Here is a 25,045-nt window from a genome sequence, read left to right as displayed (position 1 = left end):
TTTGATTGATACTGCAGATTAAGTCTGATGTTTCTGTGTTGATTTTCTGTCTGGAAGATCTATCCAATGCTGAAAATGGGGTGTTGAAGTGGATACCCTATTCTATTATTGTGTCATGATCTACCTCTCTTTTTAGCTCTAATAATATTGCCTTTATATATCTGGTTGTTCAGTGTATGTATATTTAAATTTGTGATATCCTCTTGCTGAATTGACTCCTTTATCATTATACAGTGACTTTCTTTGTCTCTTCCTATAGTTTTGGTCTTGAAACCTATTTTGTCTGATATAAGTATAGCAACTCCTGCTCTTTTTTTGGTTTCCATTGGCATGGAATATCTTTTTCCATTCCTTTCTTTTCAGTCTACATGTGTTTTTGTAGGTTAAGTGTGTTTCTTGTAGGCAACAAAGCAATGGGTCTTGTTTTTTCATCCTTTCAGTCAGTCCCTGCCTTTTAATTGGAGACTTTACTCCATTTACAGTCAATGTTATCACTGAGAAGTAAAGACTTATTCCTATCATTTTTATTTGTTTTCTGGTTGTTTTATGATCTTGTCTTCCTTCTCTCTTTCCTTCCTGTCCTCCTCTAGTAAATTTGATTTTCTCTGGTGATATAATTTAGTTTTTTGCTTTTTATTTCTTGTGTTCCCATTGTATGTTTTTTGGTTTGAGATTACCATGAGGCTTTCAAATATTATCTTATAACCCACTATTTTAACCAGAAAACAACCTAACACTACATGCATAAACAAAGAAGGAAACGAGCAAAAAGAAAACAAATAAAAACTATATGTCTTAACTTCGTCACCCAACTTTAAACTTTTTCTAGTGTCTAATTATCTCTTATTGTATTGACTATGTCTTGGAAAGTTGTTGTAGTTACCATTTTTGATCAGTTCATTGTTTAGTTTTTTTTTTTAGCGTAAGGGTAGTTTACACACCACAGTTAGTGTTAAAATATTCTGTTTTTCTGTGTACTTAACTATTACTAGTGAGTTTTGTACCTTCAGGTGATTATTTGCTCATCAATGTCATTTTCTTTCTGATTGAAGTGCTCCCATTAGCATTTCTTGTAGGACAGGTCTGGTATTGATGAAATCCCTCAGCTTTTGTTTGTCTGAGAAAGTCTATTTCTCCTTCAGGTTTGAAGGATATTTTCACCAGATATATTATTCTAAGGTAAAAAAGTTTTTTTCCTCCAGCACTTTAAATATGTCATGCCACTCTCTCCTGGCCTGTAAGGTTTTCACTGAAAAGTCTACTGACAGACATATTGGAGCTTCGTTGTATGCTATTTATTTATTTTCTCTTGCCGCTTTTAGAATCCTTAATTTATTCTTGACCTTTGGAAGTTTAATTATTAAATACCTTTAAGGTAGTCTTCTTTTGGTTAAATCTGCTTGGTGTTCTGTAACCTTCTTATACTTGGATATGGATTCTTTCTCTAGATTTGGGAAGTTCTCTGTTATTATCCCCTTGAATAAACTTTCTACCCCTATTTCTTTCTCTATCTTCTCTTTAAGGTCAATAACTTTTAGATTTGTCCTTTTGAGGCTATTTTCTAGATCCTGTAGATGTGTTTTATTGTTTTTTATTCTTTTTCCTTTTGTCTCCTTTGACTGTGTATTTTCTAATAGTCTACCTTCAAGCTCACTAATTCTCTCTTCTGTCTCTTCTGCTTGATCAACTCTCCTATTAAAGGACTCTGATGCATTCTTCAGTATGCCAATTACATTTTTCAGCTCCAGAATTTCTGCTTGATTCTTTTTAATTATTTCAATGTCTTTGTTAAATTTATCTGATACAATTCTGAATTCCTTTTCTGTGTTATATTGAATTTCTTTGAGTTTCCTCAACAAAGCTATTTTAAATTATCTGTCTGAAAGGTCACACACCTCTGTTCTCCAGGATTGGTCCTTGGTGTCTTATTTAGTTCAGTTGGTGAGGCCATGTTTTCCTGGATGGTATTGATGCTAGTAGATATTCTTTAATTTCCGGGCATTGAAGGGTTAGATATTTATTGTAGTCTTCACTGTCTGGGCTTATTTGTAGCCATCCTTCTTGGGAAGGCTTTTCAGACATTTGAAAGGACTTCAGTGTTGTCATCTAAGCTATTTCTGCTTCAGGGGACACCCCAAGCCCAGTAACACTGTGGTTCTTGCAGACTTGTAGAGGTACCACTTGATAGTCTTAGACAAGATCCAGGAGAACTCTCTGGATTACCAGGCAGAGACTCTTGTTCCCTTCCTTTACTTTCTCCCAATCGTACAGAATATCTCTCTCTCTCTGTTCTGAGCCACCTAAAGCAGAGGGTACAGGGACACAAGCATCCCTGTGGCCACCACAACTATGACTGCACTGGGTCAGACCTGAAATCAGCACAGTTCTGGGACTCACCCAAGGCCTGCTGTAACCACTCCCTAGCTACTGCCTATGCCCACTCAAGGCCCTGGAGCGCTGCAATCAGCAGATGGCAAAGCCAGCCAGGCCTGTGTCTTTCCCTTCAGGGTGTTAAGGTCCTCTGAACCCCAGATGGGTCCAGAAGTGCCATCTGGGAATCAGGGACTAGAGTCAAAAACCTTAGAAGTCTACCTGGTGTTGGCACTCAAAGCACACAACAGTCCTTCCCACTCTTCCTTCCCCTTTCCAAAAGCAGAAGAGCCTCACCCATAGCCACTCCCACCTGAGGCCATGAGGAGTACTGCCAGACTACTGCCAATGTTCCCTTAAGGCCCAAGGTCTCTAAAGTCAGCTTGTCATGAATGCTGTCTGGCCTTGGACTCACCCTTCAGGGCAGTGGGCTTAATTCTGGCCCAGAGTTGATCGAGAAATGCTGTCCAAGAGTCAAGTTCTGGAATCAAGGGCCCCAAGAGCCCGCTTGGTGTTCTACTCCCCTGTGGCCATGCTGGTACTTGAGGTGCAAGACAAAGTCCCCTTTACTTTTCCCTCTACTTCTTTCAAGCAGGAGTTTTGCCCCATACCTACCATTGCTGGTTATGTGCTGAGTTTCATCTGAAGACACCAAGTCTCAGACATTCACCCAAGGCCCTTGACATAGTATCTGGGTATTGCTGCTGGCTATTCAGGGCCCAAAGGCTCTTCAGCTAGCAGGTGATAATTGCTTCCAGGATTGGGTCCTTTTCTTCAAGGCAGTAGATTCCCTTCTGGCCCAGGGTGTATCTAGAAATGTCATTGGGGAACTAGGGCCTGAAACCAGGGCCTCATGACTGATTGGTGCCCTATCCTGCTATAGCTGGGCTGATATCCTAGATGCAAGTCCTACCCAGTCTTAATTATTCTCTTTTTAAGCAGTAGGAAGGGATCTTTTTTGGAGCCACAAGCTGTGCAGCTTGGGGTTTGGTGAGGGATAATGTCAACACTCCATCAGCTGCCCCAGCTGGTGTCTCTTTATGTCCAGTGGCCCCAAGTCCACGGTCTCTGGGACTAGTTCAGTACTAGGACTCACCAAGAGTTGCAGTCCTTATGGCCTATATAGCCTTTGAAGTGTACTTGGAGACACAGAGCATAGCCCTTGGTGGTGAGGTTTGCAAAAACCCAAGTTCAGATACCTGGGATCAGTAATTGCCCTCTGTCTAGGGCTAGGGCTGGTTTAAGTGCTCCCTCCATGGACAGGTGTCACTGAGTTTGGTCCAGTTTTCCTTTCTGCTCTAACAGGACACTACTGAGTTCAGTGCCTCACAATTGCTGTGTTTTCCATCCCTCAGTGCCCAGAGATGCTCTCTGCACCATGCCAAAACTGCCGGGGGTGGGAGAGGGTTTTTTTTTTAAATCTCTTCAGTGACTCTCAGTGATATGAAGCTACAACCACGTACTGTTAGTGCTCACCTGATTTTTGGTTCTCATGAAGGTGTTCTTTCTGTGTAGGTCATTGTTTACTTGGTGTCCTTGTAGGAAGGGTGATTGGTACAACTTTCTATTCTGTCATCTTGCTCTGCCCTCTGTAGCTGCTGTATCTTTGAAGTTAAACTATTGTATCTTTCTTCTCTTCCTCCATCCCCCTTTCGCCTCTTTTTCCGTAAGCATTAATTGAATAATTATACTATCCCAGACCTTAGGTTTATAAAGTTGTGCCTTGGTGTCTTTGACTCTAGATAGCCTCAGCAAGGGTAAGAAATATCTCTGTTCTTCTCAAGTCCAATCTTTTGCACACTGTGCTAAGAGTTAACCAAACTGCTGCCACCAGGTACTCAGAGTCATATTTCTGCATTAGAGGGAAGCTGGTCACCTGTGAATTTCCTTAAGACTCAGACCTAGGATGCCCATCTTCAATGAGTGTGAAGAGCTCATGTTCTTTAGAGGAAATATAAATAGTAAAATAGACCCTTAAGCACACCAGTGAAAATTCCTACCCACAATCCTTTTTTTTTGATAGGAATGACTACATGGTGAAAACAGAATCTCCTCCGCTGAAATTAATGAATAATGACTCCTGAGATGAGTAATAAATGAATCCTAATGAATCACCTGCTTACTTCTTTACATCCTTTGGAATTAGACATGACCTATACATGTCTAAAAACAACTGTTTAGCATTCTGTGCTAAGTTTTGTGAACTCGTAGGCCGTAATTCTTACATACACTAATTAGTTGGGAAAATTAGAAATAACTTTGAAAGCTCCTAACTTCTTGTTCTGTGTGTTGTAGGGACAAAATCACCTGCAGAAGAACCAGAAACTCCTGTTTGTTTTTCTTTTTGTTTTGCCATTATCCTTAATAGCTTTGTCACTTTGGGTAAGTTAGTTATCTCTGTAATATTTATGTTCCTTATTTATAACCTGGAGAAGATACGAATTTCTCCATAGGGTTGCATTAAATGAGTCAATGTATATAAAAGCTGTGAGCCCACACCATGTCCATATATGATAGGTCTTCAGTCAATGGTAGTTTTCTTCTCTTGTGTTATGTATATTTGACCAAGCACATTATAAATTTATGTGTAATAAAATTCTGGGGCCATACTTTCTTTAAAGAATCTATAAAAGAATCCAGTTTCATCTGTATTAACTGAATTGTGCATTCAGATGGATTTTAATCTCCTCCTCACACACTCGATCCTCACATTAAGGCCAATCAATTTAAGGTGGCGTGAGAGCCTCAAAATCAAGGAAGATTTCATAACTAGATTTAACTGCAGCAAAGAAAATGTGGGCCTTTAAATAAGAACTGACAGCAAAAGCAAAGATTAATCTTAATGGTGCACATTAACAATATGCAATTTGAGATTGGCAGTGGAGAATTGTCCCTGAGAACTGGCATTAGGCAGTATGGGTCTCGACATGGGAATTCTCATGGGAAAACTTTCATTCAATACACCCTTTCCATCCCAAAGACATTAGCATACCCAGAGACACACATGATCAGGGAAAGTGGCCTATTTAGATCAAATCATCCTGGGTACAGACTGTTTCCATTTAATATAATAGTCATTCAGCAGTAATGACTCTCTTAGAATAACTTAGAAGTGACAGGGAAATTGGATGGAGCTTCAAGTAGTTAGCTCTAGAAAAACAATGAAACAGTGATTAGAAGTCTTAAATTAAACCCTAAAGTCTACAAGGACTTGGAGGGTTTGTGACCATCTAGAAAGTGACAACAGAATAGAATCTGCTTTGGTTATTGGAGACTTTGAACAGGCTTGTTTTACAGAACTGTTGTCTTGGGTCAGATTCCAGAGTGAGAATGATACTGCTATGATCACCAGCTCCTCTTCATGACTATGGGTGGCAAGGAGCCAAAGAGCTGAGAAATTATGAGATGCCTACATGTTGCCTGCTTCAGGGCTGTTTACACTAATGTTGACTTTCTTGACTAGGGAGCAAAACATAGGTTTTTGTCACTCAATTGAGTAGATCCAATAACTACTATATTTGTCCTGTCTGACAAGAATAATATAAAAACTAAAGAAGTTATAGGAATGTCTCAGAAAAAGGAATAAACAAAAACATTATAGTTTTTACATTCCAAAGGATAAAATTGTTATAATTTGGTTAAAAGCTTATTTTATTAACTATACTTTATTAACAGCTGAAAGGATAGAAGAACAACTTTAATAACTGGGAAAATGCATTTTCTTTTCTAAGAAAGTATGTGTGTATTGTCTGAGAAATGCATTTTCTCAGTTATTGAAGTTGCTCTTGTATTCTTTTATTAAATGAGTAGTAGATTTTTATTGTAGAAAAAATTATATTTTCTAATACCACATATTCTGTATTCATATGTCTTTACAGAAAATACAAATATGTACCAGTAGTTATTGAGTAATCAGGTATTTCCCAGAAGGGCATCATCCTGGGAATCGGTGTGAGGTGGGATGGTTGTTGGTGGGGAGGGAACCACCCTGTGAAGTTGTGACAAGGATTTGAGAAATCTACACATGTCCCAAGAACTACCTATAAATTGAATCAATATTACATATTGTACATATGTAGTAGATATTAGGAATAGCACATGAAAATTTCTTTCACTTTATAAAGCTTTCATCACATTTCAGAAGTTTAGTGGCTACCTCTCTATTCTAAATTTTCAAATAGGATCTATCTACTGCCTCATCTGGTGTAGACTGCTATGTACCAGAAAGAGGTGCTAATGTATATACATGGAACTTCTCCTGGGCCAAACACTAAACTCAGGCTCAGGGGTTGTGTGGTATGCTCAAGGCCATGCAGCTAGTTAGAGATAGGGCCAGGTTTAAAACCCAGATTGGTCTAATTTTAAAGCCAAAATATTTTTACTCTACCATGGTACCTACCAACTGAGCAGACTGGCTGTTTTTGCATCATACTTTCAAAGATTCTGTTCCTATGTGGAAGTGGCAAGAATATGTGTGCATGGCGATGTGGAACTATGATTTTTATGTGTTGCTTTGAGCCACAGTATTCAGCCATTTAATGTAATGAAAGAGAAAATTAAGTAGTGCCCAGTGCATAGTAGGAAAAGGAAATGACCCTAAGCCCCTAGAAGAGTGGACAGAACCATGCCTGGGGAGTGAGGAGGCCTAGCTTCTCATTGCAGCCTGGCTGCTGATCTGTATGACCTTGGGGAGATCCTACCCTACTCTGACCTCTGTTCTCCCATTTATAAGATGAAAATGTAAAATCAAGCCCCAGGAACACACCAGATATATTTCTGGCTTTCTAATCCAACCATGCGAAGTGGTCAAGCTATGGAACAAAATTAGACTTGATTCAAGCCTTCCTTGTTATCATTAGCTGTATTTCTGGAGCAAATAATTTAATTTAATCTAATTTTTTAACCAATTTATTCTCTCCCAAAATCGTATTGATGAAGAAATCACAACAAACATTGTTCTCTCATTTACTTTGCCAAGAGGCGTGTAATGCTATAAACCCTGCTTCTGCAACTTTAGCATGTTGACTTCATTGTCAGAAAACAACAATGGGAAAATTACAAAAACTTTCTTCATGAGTGGAAAGTATTGCCAAATAGCCACAGGAGAAACCATGTTATAGTCAAATGGGTCCCAAGGACAGATTGTAGGTTTATACATATCATTCACCATAGAAATGTGCTCAATGAAACTTTCAAAGTTAATAAATGAAAAGACTATATTTTATTAGCAAACTACCTTAGAAGTAGCTATTAAATTAAGATACAACAATAACACAAGAGATTCTGGAACCCATTGGTCCCTGAGGATAGTGCCTGGAAGGGGCTCTTAGCTTGTGGCCCTCAAAGAAGGGATAAATGTTGAGGGACCTACCCTGGAGCATCCCCTAACTCCCGTCCTACCTGAAGGGTCAGAAAAAATCTCAGGGCTCTTCTAGCAGTGGACTGTCTAGGACCCAATATAGCTATCTTCATTTTGAATTGACGAGAAAAAAGGGATTGTTGACATTACTCTTTTGGAATTATCTGAGAGCTAAAAGGTTGCTTAGCACTAACAGAGAGGAACATATTCTTTTGAATCAGAGCACTTTATGGCTGGAAAATAACCCTGATGTTATGAAGTCTTGCAAACCATAGGAAAGGGATAAAGGCTTTAAGGGAGAGACTTTCTGACTTGCACAATGAGGAAAAAAAAAAATCAGGGACAGGATGGCTGGTGGGTCAAAACAGGGCCAAAAAGATGATGCATTTCATGTCACTATAAGTTCTTTGAGAAGAAAAAGAAAAACTAAAGTTTCCATTAGGAACTGAGAGCAAAGTTTCCATCAGGAACTGAGAGATCAAGAGGGAGCCAGAGATCATCACCACCAGAGAGCCAATCAATAAGAAGCAGCATAACAACGAAAAAAACAATATGACTCCTTTGCTCTTTTTAGGAACCCAACATTGCCTTGAGATAGACAAAAAACAGTCAGGAAGGTGGTCTTGATTTGAATCCTCCCATTGTGCGTGCATACAAAGAAGACCTTCCATTTTATCAATAAAGCCCAAATTCGATGGAGTTCCTCAGTGTTATGAAACAACTGCCCTATGGCACTTTGAAAGGAGAGGGCAATATGGCTTAAAATGACAACTTATGAATGTGCAGCAGTGAGAATGAGGGCCACTGTGTCCAACCCCACAGCACACTGACAGAGAAAGCTGCCTGGATGTGTCAGACAGTCTCCCTTCTAGTTCTGGAAAAGTCACCCTCTGTCGGAACCCTCATTTGTCAGATGAGTGGTCGTTGGCATTATCTATTCCTTCCATCTTCAAGGGTTGCTAGGGTGATAAGGGGAGACTAATGGTGCCAGGCAACCCTAGGAATTTTCACTTTCAATGCTTGAGCCAAAGAATCAGTTTTGTCCAAGCATGGTAGGGGCCGAGAATTGCTGTATTTGTGCAATAGTTTTCAAGGAAACAGAAAAAAGAAGAGGAGTTACATGTAATCTGAGAAAACTGGGCCCAATGAGGCTGACCTGTAAGGAGGACAAATAGCCCTCCTACTAGGATCCCTCACACCTTTCCCTGCACTACTTCAGTCCTTCTTGGAAGCCTAGCCCTTTAAACAGATTATATAGTGATTCTTTGGCTACATCTCTGAGCTTCTTCAGGTCAGCCTGGCAGCTCTTTATCCCACATACAATCCAGGAAAATGGCTTTGACTGGTGTATTAGTCCATCCTCACACTGCTAATAAGGACATAGCTGAGACTGGGTAATTTATAAAGGAAAGAGGTTTAATTGACTCACAATTCCACAGGGCTGGGGAGGCCTCAGGAAACTTAAAATCATGGTGGAAGGAGAAGCAAACACATCCTTCCTCACATGGTGGCAGCAAGGAGAAGTGCAGAGCAAAGAGGGGGAAAGCCCCTTATAAAACTATCAGATCTTGTGAGAACTCACTCACTATCATGAGAATAGGATGGAGGTAACTGCCCCTATGATCCAATTACCTCCCACTTGTCCCTCCCACAACATGTGGGGATTATGGTAACTACAGTTCAAGGTGAGATTTGGGTGGGGACACAGCCAAATCATATCAACTGGTTTCTGGAGAACCAGGTTCTTGTTCAAGTGGCTTTGGTTCTGCCCAACATCCACATTGTTGTTTATTTTTATCAATCATTCTTACCTGGTGACAGGCCTTGGTGAGTCTGCAAGTGACCATAAAATAAAATCACATTCCTTTTTGAGAATGTGGGCTTGAGACAAAGACCAAGGTCTTTGGTAAACTCCTTCTGATGGACCCTATAGAAGCAAGGGTGAGGGAGGTCTCCTTTCTCAGGTCATTAGTAGGCCTCATGTCCTTATCCATGCACACAAAGTAGTCCACCCCAGGGAGGAAGGCTGCTGGAGAAATGACCTGCCAGTGGGAATTGTTTGGAGCCCCAATACCAGCAACTGTCTTATCTGTCTCAGATAGCGATGTGGGAAACACCATTTGAGTAGTTGGTGAAGATGGCCCTGGTCCCCCTATGACATGCTTCTCTAGATTTCAAGGCAAAGATTCACGAAGACCACATATCTTTTATGCAAGCCTTGTTCATCCAATTGTGGTGTTCTAGGGTCTAAGCTCCACTTGCATATCAATGTTGAAAATGGGAGAAAGCAAAAGTGTTTTAGGGGCTTTAGGACCCTTGGCTGGGGTTGTGCCATCCCTGGTAATTGTACATTTTACTGGGAGTGCATCTTTCCTCCAGCTACCATTGGCTTATCTATCATAACATCTAGCTTTTGTCAGGTTCAGGGCACCATAATTATAAAAGCCCATGGAGTGAACAAATGTGTGGGAAAAAACCCACATAGTAAGGACATATCATTTTGGTTTTCCAACCATCACTGGGAAGAGCTTTGCCTTGGCTCTCAGTCCATCAGACAGATACAGGGCACCTGGCCCTGGGCCACCACACAAGAGCCCATCTTACCCTAGAGCGATGCATGCATGCACACTGCTGACCCCACACACACTGCTGATCCCCAGTGGTCAACCCTGGTGGGAAGTAGAGCAGTGATAACCCTTTCCCCATTTAGTCTTTCTGAACCATAGCCCTCTCAAGTATAAACTGAGTGGAATAATAGCTTCTGGTGAAGCAGGTCCTTGCTGGGGTATTGTGAGAATCAAAAGAGATAACTGATTTCATTTCTCAGCACAGTGTCTAACTAGTTCCATTCTTTTTCTGCTTCTATTTTCCATTTCTGAATTAGAACCAATCCAGATTTACTCTGGAGTCAATCTCCAAAGCCAAAATCCTCTAATCCAGCGGTCCCCAACTATCTTGGCATCAAGAACTGGTTTCGTGGAAGACAGTTTTTCCATGGATGAGGTGGTGGGGTGGGAGGATGGTTTCCAGATGATTCAAGCACATTACATTTATTGCACACTTTATTTCTATTATTATGACATTGTAATATATAATGAAATAATTATACAATTCACTATAATGTAGAATCAGTGGGAGCCCTGAGCTTGTTTTTCTGCAACCAGACGGTCCCATGTGGGGGTAATGGGAGACAGTGACAGATCATCAGGCATTAGATTCTCATAAGAAATGTGCAACCTGGATCCCTTGCATGCGCAGTTCACAGCAGGGTTTGCACTCCTATGAGAATCTAATGCCCTCACTGATCTGACGGTAGACAGAGCTCAGGTCGTAATGTGAGTGATGGGGAGTGGCTGTAAAGTACAGATGAAAAGTAAAGCTCACCCACTACTGACCTCCTGCTGTGTGGCGTGGTTCCTAACAGGCCACAGACCAGTACTGATTCCTGGCCCAGGGTTTGGAGATGCCTGCTCTAATCCTCTTCTCTCTTGGGGAAAACAAATAAATTCTACACTTTTTTTTTCCCCTTAGAACTGGAGCTCTTTATGAAATGGTTGGCTGACCACTCAAACCTTATCTCCCACCTCTCTGTCTTCACAGGACCCTCACTCCTGCCCCTACCCTTTGGTTCTAGCTATACCAGAGCCTCAAATCAGTTGCATTCCCTGGGCCACCTCTGACCATTGCTCTCAGCACTGTGAGTCACACTGTAATGCAATGTGCCATGTCTAGTTCCTCTTCTAGACTCTGTGCTCCTTGAGGGAAAGGATCAGATCATGTCTTGCTCATATTTGTTATAGTGCCCAGTGTGTAACTAACACACTTTTGATTAATAAAACATCAAAGCAGACACAGGGGTTGGGGGGGGGAGTTGTATGGGTGGCCTGAATATTGTAGAGAGATCCTCTTAGTTTCTTTGAAGATTTTCCACCAAATAAATACATATGATTTCATTTTAGAGGGGAGGATAATTGATTTTTCTCTATGAACAAGGAAGACACTTCCTTCTTCTTCTCCTTTTTTTTCTTTTAACAGATGTGTGATGAAGGACATAAATTACACAGGAAACAGGACGAGAAGACATAAACCTGTTTAATCCAATTATACATTTCCATCAACAGGCGGGGTCCCAAGAGAAGGGAGGGTGATTCAGGAGACAGGGGCCGTTAGGAAACTTTCTTCTTCACTCTTTGTAGGAAGGAAAGAGAGCAAAGGAGAGGAGAAGAAGATAGAACAGCTCTCATAGGAAGTGAGAAGCAATGCGTTTGTTACACAACACAAAACTATGTTGAGAAAAGTGTCCTGTCTTTGGAATGTTAAACAGTGGATACATAAACCATTTTTTGAAGACAAATGGAAAGCAAAAAACACCCAAACAAAACAAAACAAAGAAACTAGAGTGAAAAACAAAACAAAACAAGAACCAACCTTTTAAAAGAAAAGGCAATCTAATTTAGCTAGGAAAAGTCATGCTTGAAGCCAGATGCAGACAACACAGAATTCATAATTCCAAGGACCAGGTGCTAAGGAAGAGCACTGGGGTGGGGGCGACAGAGGACAGCTGGCGCACTTTCATTTCATAGACTCCACCTGATTTAAGTCTTAATATAACAATTCCATAAAGCAAAAGTTTGTTACTTACATTTTGCAAATAAAATGAAATTCAGAATTTAACTATTTCAAGGTTAAGATTTTTCTTCAGCTGGTTAATGGGACAATGAAGATTTGATCCCGTGTCTACACGACATCTTCCCCATCTCCTTCACTGTACCATGCTCCCTGCTATAATGGAAGGTAGCCCATTGGAGCCTATTCCCCTGTCTGCTGGCTCTGGGCTATTTGCTCAGCTGGTCTTGAACCCCAGGGCAGGACCTCACAGTAATCCCTTATTGTAATGCTCAGAATTCAGTGTTCATTACTACCCCAGTGGACCTCTCCCTTTTTCTTTCATATAGCCTCATTCCTCCTTCCAGATTCATTCTAATCCAGTGGTCCCCTACCACAGAGGCTGACTCTGGAGTGCTTACCTGTAAGTCAGGCTGATGGAGTGAGCACCACCTGGACTCTTGCCCATCAGCATGGCAGGGGGCAGAAAGTGTGCCGGAGGGTCTTAAACTAGCAATTACACACTCCAGCCCAGAAGTGAAACCACTCACCATTCATTTGCCAGAGCCAGGCACATGGAAACCCAAGCCCTGGAAATATTTGGTAAACAGCATCATTAACTACTGCAGCACCTGTTACCTTATATTTAATTAACATACCATGCATTTTACATGTTTATTATGTTTATTTTCTATCTCTCCATCCAGGTGCTCTCTGTACACAGAGGGTTTTGTCTGTTTGGTCACCGATATATCTTCAGTGCCCAGAACAGTGCATGGCAATGGCAGACTCTCAACTGATGGTTTAAAGAGTGAGTAAATATTGTCAGTTCTGCTCCTTACTTGCTGAGTGGTCTTGGGCAAGTTGTTTGTACTTCTTGAGCCTCCAAGTGTCTTTTTAGAAAATGAGGATAAAGGGATGATTTCTCACAGAATTGTGGTTGGAATTAAAGAGATAAGCAGCAGAGTGTCTAACACAAATCCTAGCCCTTAATAAGCTCTGAATAAATATTTGTTTCTTTCAACCTCCCGTGGCCAAATTAGCCTCTGACTTTTAATCAAATTCTCAAGCAAATTTATGTTAAAAAATAGAGCAACAATGTAGTTTGAATACATTCAGTAACATCTCTCTTTCCTGCCCAGTGTGCAGAACAACACTGATGCTCCTTCCAGAAAATTTTTTTCCTAGAATTGCTGGAAAACTCTGTAAATGGAGCAAGCTTTAAAACTCAGGGTGGAGACAGGGCTGGGTACAGCCACCAGTCAAGTCTTTCAAACAGTGTAACAAATGATGTGTGGATGCAACTAGGGAAAACACATTCATTCACAAGTCTGGCTGAATCACATTTAGCCCCCAGGTGCACTTGACCTGTTAACAACATTTAGACAGATTTATCAGCCGTAAACTTTGCACCAGCAAAAAATATATAGGCATTATGGACAACAGTATGAAGTTTCCTCAGAAGACTAAAAATGGAATTACCACACAATCCAGTAATCTCACTTCTGGTTGTATATCCAAAGGAATTAAAATCAGTATGCTGAAGAGATACCTGCACTCACATGTTAATTGCAGCATTATTCATAATAGCTAAACTATAGAAACAACCCAGATGTCCATCATCAGATGAACTGATAAATAAAATAGGGTATATATTCACAGTGGAATACTACTCAGCCTTAAAAAGGTGAGAAATCCTGTCATTTTTGACAACATGGATGAAGCTGGAGGGCATTATGCAAACTGAAATAAGCCAGGCAGAGAAAGACAAATACCACATGATCTCACATATATGTGGGATCTAAAACTGTTGAATTCATAAAAGTGGAGAGTAGAATGATGGTTACCAGAGGCTAGGAAGGGGGGTGGATGGGGAAAGGGAGATGTTGATGAAAAGGTACAACATTTCAGTTAGGCAGTAGGAATAGACTTTAGTCTATTGCACAGAATGGTGACTCTAATAATAATCCTTGTGTATTTCCAAATCGCAAAAATATTTTAAATGTTTTCACCCCCCCAAAATGATAAGTATGTGAGTTGATACGTTTAATTAGCCTGATGTAGTCATTCCACATTGGAAATATATATCAAAACATCACATTGTAACTTGTACCTAGATACAATTATTATTTATTCATTTAAAATGAAACTAAATAAATGTCACTAACCCACTTATTTTTCTTCTTCCCAACATAAACAAGAAGGATTTGTTGGCAACAAGGGACATTCAGACAAATTAAGTAAAGGATTTGATCCTCTCTGCCACTTCCTCAGTGGCCTACCTGGTGTGGCAAACTGCACATTCACTTCAGGTGTCAAGTTCACAGAAGCCTGAAGAGTTTCTAGGGACAAATATGCGCGTGGTGTTTGTGCTTCAGCTAGGGCTGGTGAGCATAGTTACAAGAGCCTGGACTGAGTAAGGAAAGAAAGAGCATGTCCTTCATTAACACCGAAACAAAAAGAGAAAAAAGAAAGCAGGCATACAAGTCATATAAAACTTTCCACTTTTGGGGATTCTCTTCCTTTCGTATTTTTATGAGATCATTTGCTTGGAAATGTATTGTTTGAAAAATTAAACGGAGTTCTTTTAACATGCCCCAGATCGAACTGATTGCAATGAATCAGAGTACCATAAGCCTTGTGTTTATGAAACATCTTTCAGGATACAGTGGAAAGAGAATGAAATTTGGACTCAAGAAGTGAGTCCACGCTCCACAGTTTACTGGCTGCATCAGTTTGTGTAAATTGTTAACTCTCTAAACCTCACTTTCTTCATCCTTAATATGGGGACTATAAAACCTAATTTATGGGGCTCTGGTGAGAATTCCATGAGCTAATGTTTGTAAAATGCTGTTAGCAATTTTAAAGTGCAGTGATGGTATTTATAATTATTCTGGAGAATTATTAAACAATTCAAAAAAAATTTCTATTTATCCTGGGAGAAGAGATAAAGACTTACCACTGTCTTCTCTTATAGTCACTCTCCACTTTTTTACAGCACCAATTAGTGTGTGTGCCTTAATATACTACTATATGTATTATATACACTATTATATATTTGTATATATACTAATAATCCATTATATTACGTAGATGGAGAGAGAGAGAGAGAGAGAAAACTTCCCTTGGTTAATATTTCCATTGTCATTTATAATTTCTTTCCTAGACTGTTGTAATAGCTCCTGAACCAGATTGGCTGTCTTTGTGCTGTGTTTCTAATCCAAAGTAATCTGAATTAACTGCATATCTGACCATGTCACTTCACCTTAAGAGCCTCTAAACCAGTCTAAAGCTCAAAGTCCTTAGTTTAGTCCAGTGATTCTCAACAGAGGGAGGGGAAGGTGTGAATTTGCCCCTACCTCTGCTGGTCATTTTATAATATCTGGAGACATTTTGGGGTGTCATGACAGGGTTGTGATAGAGGGGCTTGCTACTGGCATTCAGTGAATAGAGGCCAGGGCTAAACATTCTGCAATGCACAGTACAGACTCTCATAGCAATCACCCTGTCCAGCATGTCAATAGCGCCAAGGTTGAGAAATCTGCATTCAGCTCATGAGTTCTCCCTAACAGGCCTCTACCTACCAAGGCCCAAATTCATCACTGCCTTCACACTCTGGCCTCTAGCTTCAGTGAATTACTCTCACATCCCCAGGTCATTCCAATTGTTCCCAGATGGCATGGCATCTTTGGGCCTTTGTCCTGGCTGTTTCCCGTGTTGAACTTGCTTACCCTGCCTTCCCCAGCTGCCAAATTCTGCCTCCCATTATTTGGAAGACCCCCTTTCCCCTCTTGTCCTTTAGAAAGCCTTTCACATACCTCAGGCCTCTTCTCTGTGTGTCCACAGTCCCCTTGGTCTCCCTCTCTCACTTGACTTATCAGACTATAATAAAATAGAGCTAATTCGGTGATGATGTCTTTTTGAATTGAACTCTCTCAGCCATCTGTGAGTTCAGAAGGGGCTGGGACTATTTCTTCTTCATCTTTGCAGCCTCAGAGCCTCAGAGCCCAGCATTGGCTGGACACATCATCTCAGTAAATATGTGTTGACTGAAATGTAGGACAAAGCCAAATCAGTGACTATCTTTGAGTTGAAGCTGCAAAGTTGTTTTGGAATATCGTAAGGGGAACCACTGAAACAAAGATTCCGTCCTTAAGGACAAAGTTTACCATGCATCCTAGACTGTCAAGGATAGTCCCATTTCACTAATGATGGTTAACATTTATTAATTTGATTGTGTGACAAGAACTTGCAAGGGTTTTATGTTGAATCTTCACTTTACTGAATGAGTACTCTTCTATGTCTTTTCATTATTTCCATTTTATAGGTGTAGAGACTGAGACTTGGAGTTTAAGAAAAGATGACACACAACAAGTAGTGAAGCCAGGATTCATTCCAGGCATCCAGACTCTTCAAACCACCCTCTCAACTGCTGTGCTAGATCAATCAGCTGTTAGATTCATTGTCCTGATACATGGTCCCCTGGGAATACAGTTTCAGTGGGTCTACATTTCAGAGATGAAAAAAATAGAGCTTGCAGGAGACAGTCATTAATAACAGGTCCATGTCACAGCCAGACATTAGTCTGAAGTCTTTCTATTCAACAATATCACAATGATTCAGTGGTACTCTCAACTAAGCCTATTCTTTGTCAAAATTTGCCCGTCAGCTGGGGCAAAGAAGCCTGCACTTGTAGGTCTTGCATGATAACAGACATTGCATCTTAGCACCCACCTTGGGGACCCGCTGCAAATAGATCTCTGACAATTACTTAAGCCCTTAGAAATCTTTACCAGATCTGGGACAACTTTGATTCCTGTCTGGTACAAATCCTGCATCCTGGGAGGTCTCTGTGCTGAATCCCATTTGCTACAGATCTCTAAAAGCTTGCAGGCTGCTTAACTCTTCCCAAACTTTTTGGTTTAAAAATACATTCCTAGTCAGTGGGTCTGAGTGCATTCTTTGTGCCTAGAGAATGCTGTTCCCTTCAGCTTTGGAGCAGGCCAGCACACAGCTCAGACCAAAAAATGTGACACTCCATTTTCAGACTGTGTGGCCTCAGAGCATAATGTGGGCAGACGTGGGTTCCCATGCAATTCTGAGAAGGCAGTGCTTTTCCAGGGTGGTCTAGTGGTCTTGGATTGCAGTCGGCTCCATGTGCTCAGATCTTTTGGAAAATCTCACAGAAAGTTTATTACAGAAATTCTTACTCTTGTCTTCTTTCCTCTAGGGTTGTCTTTTCCAAGGCCCATCACCTGCTTCACAGGTATGTGGTTGTCATTCATCAAGTGTGTTTCCTGACTTGCTTTAGTTCTTTTCATGTATAAGCACTCCCTGAGTACCCTTCTGTGCCAGGCACTCTGGTAGGTGCTGGAGCACAGGAATCTAAATGCAAGTCCACTCTCAGAGTGTTTACAGTCTAGTGGGAAAGACACAATGAAACCGACTAAAGGTGATTAGTCTTAAAACAGAAGTTTAGCAAGCCAGGAGTACACCCAAGAAGGGCCCCAAATAAGTCCTGGAAGTCAAAGATAACTTCTTGGGTGATGGCCAAACTGATTTACAAAAGACAGAGATGAGTCGGGAAGAGGGTATTGAAGGAGATGGGAGGCAAGGATCCCAGGCAAGAGAAATAGGATGTACAAAGTCCCTGGGGCAAGTAAGAGTGGAGCGTGTTTGGGAAGGGCAGGTAATTCAGTCTGGCTGGAAGGTAGAGGATGTCTGTGGTGCTGGTCATGGCAGGTGGAGGGGAAGGTAGTGAGAGAGGAAGTTAGAGAGAGTGCCATGTGTTGTGTCCTGTGGGACATGGCAGGCCATGCTTAGGATTTTGAACTTTATCTTGAGGAAATATGAGACAGATTTTAATCAAGAACATGACATGATCAGCTTTGTCTTTTGTTAAGCCCAGTTATACAGAGATTCAGCAGAAATGCCTGGAACCTTTGTGACTGAGTTTTTATCAGATCAGAAACTTGTTTCCACCCTTGTCATCGGAACCCATGCAGGGAATGTTAGGGCAGACCCTCTGGGCAGGTTGATGATGGAGAGCTGTGACAGAGTCTAGGAAGACTTCAGAGATCCAGAAGCAAGGGGTAGACAGCATTAATCCTGGGAGTAGGTGGAATGCCAGGACCTAGGGAGACAGGATAAGCAGGAAGGAACAGAAAGAGGACTGGCTTCCAACAGGCTCCACTCCCTGGGGGCAGCTGCAGTTTCAGACAAGTAAGTGCCAGCAGAGCTAAAATTTAGGGATTCAAATCAAGGTTGAAGCCTAAGGTTCCTGAAGGGTTACCCACAAGAGGAGAGGGTCAAACATTTACCTAGTACTAGACACCGAGGAAGGTACTTTGTAAACATCCGTCTTCCATCTGTGCTGTCAAGTAGGCATCATTATTTGCGTCTGCCAACTGAGAAGAGAGAAGCTTAGAGAGGTGCAGTAACTTGCCCAAGATTGCACAGCTAGTAAGTACAGAGCCAGGTTTTACATCAGCGTTCTCTATTTCAAACCTGTTTTCACCAAATGTTAGAGTTGGCACTCAACCCCAAATCAATCCTAATAATCCATTACGCTCTGATGTCCCTTTTAATTTTCTTCTTTAAATGAGAAGTGGGTCTTCATGAACGATTTCCCCACATGACATCTGCATCCTAAAATACTTTGCATCAAGAATTGTGTGGATCCAGATCCCCTACCAGAAACATCATCTCACACGGGGGGCTGCTGCCTGCATGGCCATGCGGAAGTTTCTCCCGCTTCTTCCCATCAGCACTCATTGTCGCAGATGCCCAAATGCAGTTCCTTGTTCCTTCACAGACTGACATACCTCTTTCTTTTGTAACTCAATGTCCATCCATCAGGTAAGAGAGGCATTGGCCCCCACATGATTTTTGGGGTGCAGACCACATTGTCCTAGACCTGAAGTTCTATGGACTCTATCTCAATCTTCTCCAAAGGACCACTCCTAGCCAGCACCCCTGAATAACTTTAGTCATTACAAATAAAATTAGTCCCATTTATCTGAAATATGGAGCCAACATGGTGGCATGGAAAGAGCTGGGGCTTTGAGTCTATCAGACCTAGACCCCCAGCTGTGCCTGTGTGAACTTTGGTGAGTCCCTTAAATTTGCTGAGGCCCAATGTCCTCATTTGTATATGGAGATCATAATGCCTACCTCCCAGGACTGTTTTGAGAATTACTTGAGTAGATCTTGGTGCAATGCCTGGCCAGTAATGCAGAAGAAAAAATAATCAGTACAACCATTATTACCATAGACAACCCTCCTCCATATCTAGGCAATGAACCATTCAAAGCATCTTTATAATTTGTGTGCATAGGGAGTGGGTTTTTTTTTTCTTATTCCCCCAAGGTGTGTGGATGAATTCCAGAGCCAAGTGAGACACTGCAGCTCAGGAACAAAACATAATTTTGTGACTTTTCCACAACAAGAACTTGTATGCATTCCTACTTCACAAGGTGGTGGTAAGGGTCAATATCAAGCAAACAATCAAACCCCTTTGTAAACTATAAAATAGTGCATTTGTCCCTCTTTATTTTATTTTATTTTTAGTTTTTTGAGAGGGAGTCTCACTCTGTTGTCTAGGCTGGAGTGCAATGGCATGATCTCGGCTCACTGCAACCTCCGCTTCCCAGGTTCGAGCGATTGTCTTGCCTCAGCCTCCCAAGTAGCTGGGATTATAGGTGCCCACCACCATGCCTGGCTAATTATTTGTATTTTTAATAGAGACGAGGTTTCACCGTGTTAGCCAGGATGGTCTCGATCTCCTGACCTTGTGATCCACCCGCCTCTGCCTCCTAAAGTGCTGGGATTACAGTCATGAGCCACCACACCCGGCCCCTCTTTATTTTTATGATCTTTATGTTTTGAACCAATTTTTTTCCAATGTAATTGATATACAATACAATGCTCACATTTTAAGTGTACACCTTGATGAGTTTTGACAAATGTATACACAAGTGTGACCACCACTTCAGTCATGACACATAAGATTTTCATTGCTCCAAAAACTTCCCGGATGGCCCTTTGTAGTTGATCCCCCACATATTCCTTGCCTCAGGGAAACACTTTTCTGATTTCCATTATTATAAATTAGTTTTACATGATCAAGGACTTTATGTAAATTAAATCATACTGGGTGTGCTCTTTCATTTCTTCTTTCACTCAGCATAGTGTTTAAGATTTTTCCATATTGTACCTATCAGTGGTCTGTTCCTTTTTATTACTGATTAGTATTCCATTGTTTGAATATACCATCGTTCAGTTATCTACTCACCAGTAGATAACATTTGGGCTATTTCCCATGATGAACATTTGGGTTATTTCCAGTTTGGGGTGGTTGTGAATAAAGTTGCTTTAAATATTCATGTAAATGAATTTTTTTCATGTAAATGAATATGTTTTTATTTCTCTTCAATACCTAGTATTGAAACTGCTGAATGAAGTGTATGATTAACTTTAAAAGAAACTACCAATCTTTTTTCTAAAGTGGTTGCACCATTTTGCAACCGAAGCATCAATGTATGAATTGCCCCATGTCTGTGTCAACACTTCTTATTATCACTCTTTGAATTTTAGTCATTTAAGTGATGTGTAATGGGATTTAATTGTGGTTTTAATTTGTATTTCCCTGATGATTACAGATGTTTGCTCTCTTTTTATGCTCTGTGGCCATTAATATATCTTCTTTTATCAAGTGCCTATTCAAATCTTTAGTCCATTTATTTATTTGTTTAAATTTTTCTCTTACTATTATTGAGTTGGAAGACTTATTTTTATGATCTAGATTCTAGTCCTTTGTCACATATCCATATTGTGAATATCTTCTCCCTGTCTGTGGCTAACCTTTTCATTTTCTTAATAATATTTTTAAGAGCAGAAAGTTTTAATTTTTATGAAGATAAATTTATTATTGTTTGCCTTCATGATCCATGCTTATTGTGTTTTGTTTAGGAAATCTTTGCCTATCCAAGGTTTATGAATATTTTATCCTTTGTTTTGTTCTAGAACTTGTGTTGTTTTATCTTTTATGTTTTAGTCTGTGGTTTATTTTGCATTAAATTTTGCATATGGCAACAGGTAGGAGCTAAGATTCTTTTTCAGTTTTTGCACATGGATATTCAGCTGTTTTAGAAGTCTATATGGAAAATACTTTCATTGAGTTATGCTGATGTATTTGTCAAAAGTCAATTGACCATATATATGTGCGGGTTCATATCTGGACTACTTAGTTAAACTGTGTCTATATCTTTGGCCAATAGAATTATGTATTGCCTCTTGACGTTTATGGTAAATCTTTATATTAGGTAGGGTGAGTCACCCAATATTTGTACTTTTTCAGTACTGCTTTTGCTATTCTTGGTTTTTTGCACTCCCATATAAATTTTTGAATCATCTTGCCTGCTAGAAATTTGGTTGCATTACATCAGTGGATCAATTTGTAAATAAATTAAATTTTCTAATTCATAAACATAGTATCCCTAAACATTTATTTAGACTTTCAAATGTTGACAATATTGAGTTTTATAACACTGAGCTTTCTGATGCATAAACATAGTACTTTTATACATTTATTTAGATGTTTAAAATTTTTTCTAGCTAGGTGCAGTGGCTTATGCCTGTAATCCAAATGCTTTTGGAGGTCAAGATAGAAGGATCACCTGAGCCCAAACTTTTTCTCAGGAAATTTTTCTCAGGAAAGTTTATAGTTTGTAATGTAGAGTGTTTGTATATCTTTCATTAATTTATTTCTAATAAGATTATATTTCTATGCTATTGCAAATAGTACTTTAAATTTAATTTTCTAATTATTTGCTGCTACTTTTAAGCATTATGGTAGGAGAGCTTGTGTGGTACCAGATATTGTATAATAGCCAGAGGCAAGATTTTCTTTTCAGTAATAACTATGGAAAAATTGAAGCATCTCCTCCTAAATTGTTATTTTTCTTCTTTTAAAAATGTTTCCAGGATTCCACATGAAATATACTATTTTTGGTCTCTGTTACATTCCAAAGCATTAAGTAGATGAGCAGGTTGTGTGTGTGTGTCGGGGCGGGGTCGGGGGGGGGCGGGGGTGGGTTTGTGTTTGTGGCTGCTGCTTGGATCATAAGTTCTCTTCTGAAGAAATTTATCACTGACGACTTTCTACCTGCCCCCCGCCCACACTTTTTTTCTTTTTGGCACCAGTAAAATAAGAACAATCTGTAAGATAGCAGGTATAGTACTCTGTACGTTTGGTTCGTTTACAAGCTTGGAAGCCTCTCAGCCTTCTTTATGACCAGTTTAGAGACATGGCTGAAATATTAGCTGAATTACTAAGCTTAAATTAGAAAGCACATAGAAGGGCAAATATTGATTTCTTCCACAAAGTTGTTGTATTTGCACTCAAGGCACTCTTGGAAACTTGAAAAAGACAGATTATGAGCAAAATGAAACATACTAAACTCAGACTAAAAATAACTATGTAAATTCTTATACAGGAGGGTTACAAAGTATTAATGGCATGTTTTTGTATTCTACCTTCTGCTTTCATTTGTTCGTTTGTTTGTTTTTGAGATAGAGTCTCGCTCATTGCCCCGGCTGGAGTGCAAATGCGCAATCTCAGCTCTCAGCTCACTGCAACCTCTGCCTCCTGGGCTCAAGGGATTCTCCTGCCTCACCCTCCCGAGTAGCTGGGATTACAGGCACCTGCCACCATGCCCAGCTAATTTTTGTGTTCTTAGTAGAGATGGGGTTTCACCTCTTGCCCAGACTGGTGTTGAACTCCTCACCTCAGGTGATCCACCTGCCTTGGCCTCCCAAAGTGCTGGGATTACAGGCGTGAGCCACCATGCCTGGCCTACCTTCTGCTTTTTCAAGCATTTTCAGATTCCACATTGAACATATGCTCTTGTGCATGTATGTTTATTCTGTTTGCTTTGCCTAGAACAACCCTCCCCTCTTTCTCTGAACTTTTAGTCCTTTTTCAAAATAAGTTTGATCTGTTCCCAACCTCCCCACCTTCAGCTGCACAACTCCCCTCCAGATGACTTGGCTCACATCTCCCTGATGTTCCCATTAGAATGCTTTGTACATCTAATTTAATTTAACAAGTGTTACTTGTGTCCGAGTTATGCTCAAAATAGGGGGTCAATGAAACTTCTTAGGCATTCTCAAATGCCTTAAGTAGCATTTGTAGATTGTTTTTTTTTCTTTTTTTCTCTAAGTGTAAGCCTGTCCATACTTAGGGTTTATTTGTAACTGTTTTTTTTTTTGTTTTTTTTTTTTTACTACACTCAAGGAAGGAGAATCAACCTTAAATACATGTAGAAAAAGACAGCAAGATTTACCTGTGCTCACACAATGATTTCTGAAACAAAATTAACTCAAAGGCAGCAGTGGAATAAGATTGGAAGGAATTCTGGGTCAGAGGCCCCGGATCCTGGTCTGACTTTGTCAACAACAAAGCTCAGAGCTTGCCACATGAAAGGCACTAGGATGAGTGAATGAACTTGAAGAAGTCTCTTAACCTTTGTTGGCCTCTGTTTCTATATGCTAGAATAAAGGAGTTGGAGTTGATGATCTCCAATTGCTTCAAGTCAATACATTATGAATTTTTTTATCCTTCAGGACTTAAATCAATTACTGTAGTAAAATCTCATTATTTAGATTAATTGGCAAAGGAGAATGGAATTGACACTTATAGAGTGCCTGTTGTGTGTTAGATATTTTTGGTATATTGGAGATGTTGAAGGAGAATAAATCATACTGGCCCTGTCCTCTCGTTCCCGTGGGATCTGTTGGATTGTCATTCATCCTTCTGATTTCTTTAAATCAACTTTCAAAGTGAGCAAAGTCTTAGAACCACTCTTCTAGGGTGAGAAAGGGAGAGAAGGCACTGCTCTATGGAGAGAGAGAATTGCTTTGAAGTTGATACAGCCATTGTTTACATTCAAGTGTATGTTTCTAACATATTTGAAGCTGATCGAAGTCAATATGACAGTTTCTTTGAAGTTGATTGATTGATTTTCTTTATAACTTCATTTATACCCTGTATAAAGACAAACTTTAGTACAACTTCTATCACAAAATCCAAATATGTAGGAAGTTTGAATTAATGAGATCTTACTACCTATGCCAGGATTGTAAAAAATAGATTAAGGAGATTTGATATGACAGATATTTTCTTGGGTGAGAGAATCTCTGGATATGGGTTGCTCCCTGAAATATGACCCTGCTCTATGGCTGCCAAAAGGAAATCTGCGTTGCTATGAGGCCACCATTCTTCCCTTGCATTACTTGAGAGATTGATTACCTTGGCTTGTGCTTCTTTCATAGGGAAACTGGTCAGATGTGGTCATAGGAAGCAACCAAAGACATGAAGCTTATCCCCACCCTTTGGTGCTGGGTTCTAGAATCAAGGTTTGGCTCCATGCTACTTTTTGAATTGCCTTCGGTGTTAGTTTCCTAGGGCTGCCATAACAAAATATCATAGAATGGGTGGCTTAAACAACATTTGTTTTCAGTTATGGAGTCTGGAAGTCCATACCTAGATGTTGGCAGGCTTGGTGTCTCCTGAGTCCTCTCTCTCTCGTTTGATTGCAGGTGGCCATTTTCAGTTATGGAGTCTGGAAGTCCATACCTAGATGTTGGCAGGCTTGGTGTCTCCTGAGTCCTCTCTCTCTCATTTGATTGCAGATGGCCATTTTCTTGTTA

The 25,045-nt window shown here is 40.3% G+C and overlaps 1 long non-coding RNA gene across 3 annotated transcripts in view; it reads left to right on the top strand.

The window, feature by feature from the left end:
• LOC105376214 (uncharacterized) overlaps positions 1–25,045 on the top strand; it is a 401,533-nt gene that overhangs the window by 116,512 nt on the left and 259,976 nt on the right. For all 3 annotated transcript variants that reach the window (XR_007061722.1, XR_001746882.2, XR_001746881.2), the window contains exons 3-4: positions 13,042–13,145; positions 17,565–17,600. This is a non-coding gene — a long non-coding RNA (uncharacterized LOC105376214). The remainder of the gene's footprint in view (positions 1–13,041; positions 13,146–17,564; positions 17,601–25,045) is intronic.

Source organism: Homo sapiens, chromosome 9, assembly GCF_000001405.40.
Source record: "Homo sapiens chromosome 9, GRCh38.p14 Primary Assembly".
Lineage (NCBI taxonomy): Eukaryota > Metazoa > Chordata > Mammalia > Primates > Hominidae > Homo > Homo sapiens.
The sequence above is the reverse complement of the archived record's forward strand: the minus strand, read 5'-3'. Positions and strand labels throughout refer to the sequence as shown.